The 7,881-nt window shown below is 47.3% G+C and overlaps 1 annotated feature.

The window, feature by feature from the left end:
• Positions 6,441-7,640: an enhancer, noted in NCBI's record as "CDK7 strongly-dependent group 2 enhancer chr8:101880913-101882112 (GRCh37/hg19 assembly coordinates)". NCBI's record gives its function as "activates an origin of replication core promoter dependent on BRD2, BRD4, P300/CBP, MED14 and CDK7 cofactors, with strong dependence on CDK7, by STARR-seq in HCT116 cells {active_cell/tissue: HCT116}" and the evidence as "EXISTENCE:reporter gene assay evidence [ECO:0000049][PMID:35650434]".

Below are 7,881 nucleotides of genomic sequence, written 5' to 3' on the forward strand. Positions count from 1 at the left end.
CCCATCCCCTGCCAAGTGGGACACACAGACTGTCCTGAGCTGTATTACTTCTTAGTATCAGCAGCCAAAATATACTGACCTCTGCACCAAGCACTTTAAACCCATTGTCTCGATTAATCTCTATTTATTCATTTATTATTTTTTGAGACGGAGTCCCATTCCATCACCCATCCTCAGATGAGGCACTGAGAGGTTTAATAACTAGTTCAAGGTCATGCTGCTAGAAAATGGCAGAACCAGGACATATCCCATGTATGTCCACCTCCCATGCCCTCCTCCTAGCCCATTTCCCACCTCTAGGCTGGACTGGGGAATATGCTCAGGTTCAAGGACAGGTGAAGATGGTGGCGTAGACTCAGTAGAAGTTCCTTTTACTTTGGTTTACTTCCTAAGTAAGTGTGAAGGATACAAATGCAATTCTGGTGCAGGTGAGTAGATGAGCTCCCCGTTACTTCTCTTCGGTTTCACGAAGGCCCATCCAAAGATTGGTGGTCTTAGAGGCTGCACAGGTGTAATGAGACATTGGCTATACTGGAGAAGCACAGAACTGTGGGCTGGCTGCCTTTGATACCCTGAGCTACATCACCACCCAGAAACAACTTCAACTGCCTTATAAAGCAATGATCCCACTCCTTGGTGAGTCATGTCACCAAACCTCATCTGAAGGTTGGGGTTCCAGGTCTGGGAGTTCTTGCAGTGTCAACACTGGGGCAATTGCCCCTTATTGGTGCCAGTGTCACATAGGCCTTGGAGTTTCCCATTCATATCCACCTCAGGGCTTTTCATGGGCAGGGCTGGACACACCTATCCACCACGCTGTCCCTCAGGCCTGGGGCTGGAGCTGCGGCCCCTCCACGGAGGCTCTGTGAATAAGGGCGACCCATTCTGTCCTACATCAGCTTCACATGTGTCACTCTGCAATGGCCTCTGCATTGAAAAATTCCTCCCCAGAAGGAGGCCCAGCTTCTGATGGCTTTGGAAAGTGATGATGGTTAATTTCACGTGTCAACTTGACTGGGCTAAGGGATGCCCCCATAGCTGGTAAAACATGATTTCTTGGTGTGTTTGTGAGGGCATTTCTGGAAGAGATTGGCATTTGGATTGGTAGACTGAGTGAAGAAGAGCCCCCCTCGCCAATATCGGCGGGCATCATCCAATCCTTCAAGGACCTAAATGGCACAGAAGAGGTGGAGGAAGGACAGATTTGCTCTCTGCCTGAGCTGGGACATCCATCTCCTCCTGCCTAGGACATAGCCACTCCTGGTTCTCCGGCTGGCGGCTGGCAGATCAAAGAACTTCTCCGCCTCCACAATCATGGGAGCCAATCCTCACAAATCTCTTTCTGTAGATCCATGTCTGTCCTATTGATTCTGTGTCAATAGGATACCCCGACTTATGTGGCCCCTTAGCACATTTCACCTCAGAGATGCTCGCAGGCCCAGGCAAGCAGTGGTGACTGCCCTCGAGGCCTCTCCCAGGACTCCTAGCTGGAAAAGGGGTCTGCGGGGCTTTGTTCTGGGCTGTGTGCTGTATCGACTTTTCCAGGACCACTCCCAGACTCCAGCCACTGTATGTGACTGTGCACAGCCCCACTCTAGGAGGCGCCCTTCTTATTGCATACCCTTGGCAATGTGAGGAGTGGCCCCTGGAGGAGTGCAGGCCACAGAGTGTGTGGCTGTACAGGGCAGCCCTGCTTCAACCTGCCCATTGTTACCTCCCATTTCCCCCAAGGCTGCTCTGGCCTAGAGTCCGAGCTGTGTGGTCAGAAATCTTTGACTCCTTCCTCTTCCTCATCCTCCATAGCCAATCAGTGTTCAAGTCCATTCAAGACTTTCCTCCTAACTCCCCCACACCCCACCCACATTAGTCGCTTCCTTTGATTTCCACTTCTCCAGGCGCCATCCATACCTCTCAGGCTCACACCTGGTTGGCTGCAGGGGCATCTGACCTAGCCGTCCTTCCTCCAGTCTCATGCCCGCCATCCATTCATCGTCCAGCATACACTTACCAAGCACCTATTCTGTGTTGGGCACCCCATCAGGCACTGGGCATGCAAAGAAATAGGACAACTGGGCACGGGGGCTCATACCTGTAATCCCAGCACTTTGGGAGGCCAAGGCAGGCAGATCATAAGGTCAGGAGATCGAGACCATGGTGGCCAACATGGTGAAACCCCGTCTCTACTAAAAATACAAAAATTAGCTGGGCGTGGTGGTATGTGCCTGTAATCCCAGCTACTTGGGAGGCTGAGGCAGGAGAATTGCTTGAACCAGGGAGTCGGAGATGGTGGTGAGCCGAGATCACGCCACTGCAGTCCAGTCTAACAACAGAGTGAGACTCTGCCTCAAAAAAAAGAAAAGAAAAGAAAGAAAGAAAGAAATAGGACAGACACACCCACACAATTCTATCTTCCAAGTATTCCCTTTCTACATCTGCATACATACCTTCTAAGAAGGTTTTTAAGTTTTCATTCTCAGCCTTTAGGACTTTTGTTAGGCTGAGCAGGGTGAGGCCCAGAGAAATGAATTGGAAGGAGCCAGGAAAACAAAAACAAAAAAAACTAACAAGCCTGGAGAGGCCAGGTTGCTTGAGACTGGAAAAGGCAGAACAAGTTTGAACCAGGAAGGAGAGAAAAGAGTTAGCAAGTGCTCACTGTCATGGCAAGTGCTTTGGGAGTTGAGGGAGGAAAACCGTGGAGAACAGGGACAGCTGTCCCGCAGTGATAAGTAGGGCTTTCATGAGGTAGCTGTTTTAGAAATTCCATCTTTTCAAAAAACTTCAGTAGAGATATATTTTTAAAAAATGACATCAGACTGATGTTTTAAAAAAATGTGGCCCAGTGCTTACACAGGCCACGACATGACCCAGGTTATAGAGGAATAAGGCATGGCTCTTTGTTAAGAGCACAGTCTAGTTGGCAGAGACAGCTATATTAAGAAAATAATTTCAATCCACTCTACTCAGACTTCACTCTCTTTCCATCATTAAGATCCCTCTTTGCAAAGCCTCCCACGGCTTACCATTACCTGTAGGAGAGAGTCCCACATGCTTGGCCCTGTGATGAATCATCCACTCACTCAGCCAGATACCTTGTCTATTCCCTGAAATCCACTGACTCGCCACGTGCTACTTCCTTCAGGGTTCTGAGCCTCAGGTGTGCATCTCAAAAAGGGACATACTACCTGTTTATTGTATCTGAAATTAAATATACAGAGAGATACATGAATATAGTCTATACCAGTGATTGGCACAGAGGAGGTTCTCAATAAAAAACCTTCAACTTCAAAATAAAAGCAAACCTTCTAAGCACCTGCCATGTGCTAGAGAGCCTGCTCTGCAAATGGCTTGGACACCCAGGTGGGACCAGGCCTGTCCAAGTATAAAAACTCTCCACAGCTCAACCCCCACGGGCCTTCCTCTCATTTCATTCCCCCCTTCCTATTCTGATCCTGCTAAATTACCCCAAGCAGATACGAGTTTTACAAATCCTTAGACGTGCAAAAATGGGAGTTCGTCTTCCCATAACCCAACAGAACTTTGCTCTTATCCTCGTTGCTGTGCTAAGAGTTGTTTCGTCATAACTTTAATGATTTCCTTCTTTCCCACCAGCTGGTAGAACTTTCACTCCTCTCCTTTCTTAGAGATGGGGAAAGACTGCTCTTCCAGCATCACCCCTCACTCACTCTACCACCCCCGATTTTGCTTACTCCATGGTTTACGGCAAGGGCTGGCAAACGTTTTCTATAAAGGGCCAGACAGTAAATATTTTTGGTTTCGTAGAACATTCTGTCTTTGGGGCAACTACTGAACTGTGCCGTTGTGGCCGGAAAGCGGCCTATACAATATGTAAATAAATGGGTGTTGCTGTTTCCATAAACCTTTATCTACAAAACAGGTAGCAGGCCCTAGTTTGCTGACCCCTGGTTTATGGTATAAGCACTATGATCTCAGTCTTGGAGACTTTAGCTTTTGATACTTACAGCCAAGCTTTTAAAACCCACAAGACCCTTTTCTACCTCAAGCCTTGGTCCCTGCATTTGTAAATCACAGCTTTTATTAGTTATTAGTTATTGCTTCTCTGATAGAGATTTATGAAAGTCTCCTTAACAGACAGGGGCCAAGAATCTGACTCTTCGTTCTTTAAGTATCTACTCTTGCCCCTAAACCTGCTGAGTGGTAGCAGGAGGGTCCCTGGTGTAGCCCTAATAGGTCTGTTTCCCAATGCACACAGCAAGTCAACATGCCAAAAAACCACGTTGCAGCAGAGAAAGGAGTTTAATCATACAGTCACCTAACGAGGTTATGGGAGGAGACCTCAAATCCATCTCCTCAACAAAGTTGGGTTTAGAGTTTTTAAGGGTTTTGGAGTGGGCCAAAGTATGCAAATCATTGATTGGTCAAAGAGTGCAGGGTCAAAGAGTGCAGGGACAGGAAGACGAAGAAGCTGTATTCTCAGGCTGATCCTGTTCCTCTGTTGGGGTCTCCAAACTGGTTGCTGGAATTCAGAGTCTGAAAAACATCTTAAGTGATCCTTAAACAAAAATCTTCTGGTTCTAATGTCAGAGATGCTGTCTGTAGGAACAATGAGGATGCAAGTCAATTCTTAAACACATCATTAGAAATGCAAAAATGGAACTTCACTCTCCTATAACTGAACACAACTTTGCTGTTATCCTCATTCAAGTCAGAAATCCTATCTACAGGAACAACAGGAATGCAGATGGTTAGTATCTGGGGCTATATGACTTTCAGCAGTAAGGAAGTGGGCCAGAGTGCAGCCAGATTAATGCTTAATTACAGCTATATTTCTGTGCAGAGCCCAGCATGAATTCTCATCGACACTGTAGGGGTGGTTTCTCTGGGAAATAACAATTTTTGTTCTCTCAAGTCTTATTCCACTACAGCAGTGGTTCTAAAAGAGTGATTCCCAGGCCAGCAGCACCAGGTCCCCAGAGAGCGTGTTAGAAATGCAGATTCTTGGCCCTTACTCCAGATCTATGGGATGGAAAACTCGGGGTGGAGCCAGCAGTCCTGATGTGGGATTCCCACACCTGCTGAAGGTTGAGAGCCCTGCGCCGAAACCTCACATCTTGCATCCTCTTTTCCTTGCCCTCATATTTTGGCCATGCTTTTTCCTCCATTCCAAATGCTTCTCATGGGTCTCTTCCATCCTCCAAAACCTTCTGACTCTAAAACTCAGCTGAGAATTGTGTGCTACCTTGAGACAGCCCCACGTGATCGCCATCGTTAATTACCTCCTTTCCTGTTAACTTTTTGCATGTTAAGGTTTTGCCTCTGTAATAGGCCAGAAAGCATTTTCCAACAAAGAATCGGGCCTTCAATGTTTTTGCGCTGCTCACATCAACTAGCAAACTTCCTGTCTCAGATCATTTTCCTAGAAGGGATTCTAAGAAAGGTCCTCAGAGCCTGTGACCTTCTGAGCCAGTCCCCTACGGGAATCCTTGTGAGGGAGCAGGAGAGGCAGAGAACAGGGAAGGGGGAAATGTGAGCAGGGAAGTGGCTCCGTCAATGCTAGAATTGAAATTTTTTATTTTTTGTTTTGTAGAGAAGGTAGTTGGCAGGGCTCTCACTTTGTTTCCCAGGCTGGTCTTGAATGCCTGGCCTCAAGTGATCCTCTTGCCTCGGCCTCCCAAAGTAGCTTTGATTTTGAGGAGCATAAACCACACCCCGTGTGAGGCAAGGGGCTGGCATTCTGTTCTTCCTGTCAGCCACTCGTGGGCTGTGAGCCACCCTGAGGAGTGCCACTTTTTGGGGAAGGGTTGCCCATCAGCTGAGGCTCTCCTCCCCAGAGGACAGCAGCTGAGAGCCATCTGCAGCCACCACAGCAGAGCAGCAGTGGGATAGGCACCCCGACCCCAGAAAGAGGATCTGGGCAGGGCTCTAGCACCATCTCTGTCTTATACAAAGCAGGTGTTCAATAAATATTTGGTAATTAATTGATTCCTTCTACCCTCTCATTCCCTGTCTATATAAGTTAATTCTACCATAAGAGTACTGTGTCAATGAGCACTCTAGCCCTCACAACGCATTTTATAGGCACACTCTGTGGAAGAAATACCAAGTTCACTTTGCGAACTGGAATAGGAGCAGCCTGGAGAATTCATGCCTCACTGTCTATGGGGGTGAGTATGGACATGCAGGTATAGAAAGAGAAAATGCACCATCTGGAACCATTGAGAAGCAGGAGGAAAAGTTACAGCCGCAAGCACCACAACCGTCTGTGAACAGATACAATTTTGTGTTTCATCTGGAGTGTGAGTCATTTCCCACTTTCTTCTCCTCATCCTCCCTAAAGTCCAAGTCAACCAAGGAGGAGCTCCAGATGGCTCACCCACAATTAGGTCTTCTTTGATTGTTCTAGGAGGATTAATTAGTCACCACCATGAGTATAAAGACCAAATCAAGAGGCAATATGGCAGAGGGAGAGAGAGGGAGGGAGAGACCTGCCTGCTGCTGAGGCGAGCACAGAAGGGCCTGTGGATTACACAGATGGTGTGTCATTCAAACTCTCTTTTGGAGAATGCCAACGTAGGGATGGGCCAGGTGTGTTAAACAGTCCTATTCAATGATTCATAGTCCTGGCTACACCCTAGAATCACCTGGGGAACTTTAAAAAATACTGATGCCCAGGCCCTGCCCTGAGATTCTGGTATAAGTGGTGCATTGGAGCCTGGGGATGAATATTTCCTTTTTAAAAGCTCCCTGGCTGGATCAATGTGCACTTAGTGAAGAACAATGTTGCAGTGCTTGCAATTTATTTGAACTGCGGTCAGTTTATTGCATTTCCCAAAGTATTTGTCATCTATCTGCCCAGTCCTGTGTTTGGCACTACAGAGAAAACAAAGCAATGGAAACCAGAAATAGCAAAGGATGTGGAGGAGTCCAAAGGTTTGGGTTCAAAGTCCAAGTCTGCCATTTTCCTGCTGTGTGACTTTGGGGAAGCCAAGTCCTTGAGGGGGTGGCATGATTGTGAGGTTGAAAGAGAACAGGACTAGGGCCAAGGGCTCTAATCCTTCCACCTTTGCGGTTAACTCGTGGTGTCACTTCAAAGCCAGTCACACCACCTCTCTAGACTTCTGTTTTTCTGTGGATAAAAGGAAAGAATGAGACTAGGTCAGTGGTTTCCAGATTTGGGTTTGAGAGACAGAACCTTCATGGTGCAGGTGTTTCTTGGTTGAAGGGTGGGAGGGCAATGAGACCCATCTTAGGGACTCCTGCTTCTCCTTCCAGGAAATCCCTGCTGTTACTCGAGGGGAACTATTTGAAACCCATTGGACTAGAAGATGTGCTCCCAGGCCCCTTGCTGTGAAGTCCTGTGGTCTTGTCTCTCACTTGCTCTGGACAAACACCCTGAGCAGTACTTTCTGCACTTAGGTACTTATGAATACTTTCACATGATGAGCGGGAATGGGTCCTGGAGCTTGTCCACTGGGCACATTTTCCTTCTAAGTGCATTGCTACTTCCTCCTCCCTGACTTCCTCTTGCATCCTATTATTGATTAGTTCGACTTGGCAAGTTTGTCGTAATTTCCAATTCTCTCTGCCAAGTTCCTCATTCCTTGAAGGATGAGCTGGCTTTGAAGACAATGATGCATATGTTCACTGTGGATTCTAGAAAAGGGGGGACTTCCCAGAATATGTGTTTCTGTGATTTCCATGACACTTCTCTACCAAGGGCCGTGGGCCGCCTCCCTCAGCTCTGATCTGGGAGAGCAATATCTATTCCTATAGTCAAGCTTGCTCCAGACTGCATTAAAGAAGGAGGAGACAGGGTGTTTCCTAATCGATGATGCCCCTATTAAAATTGTATATGTTGCAAGCTGTTACAGGGCCTGAATCAGAACCAGGAGACTATGGCCA

Source organism: Homo sapiens, chromosome 8 (genome assembly GCF_000001405.40).
Source record: "Homo sapiens chromosome 8, GRCh38.p14 Primary Assembly".
Lineage (NCBI taxonomy): Eukaryota > Metazoa > Chordata > Mammalia > Primates > Hominidae > Homo > Homo sapiens.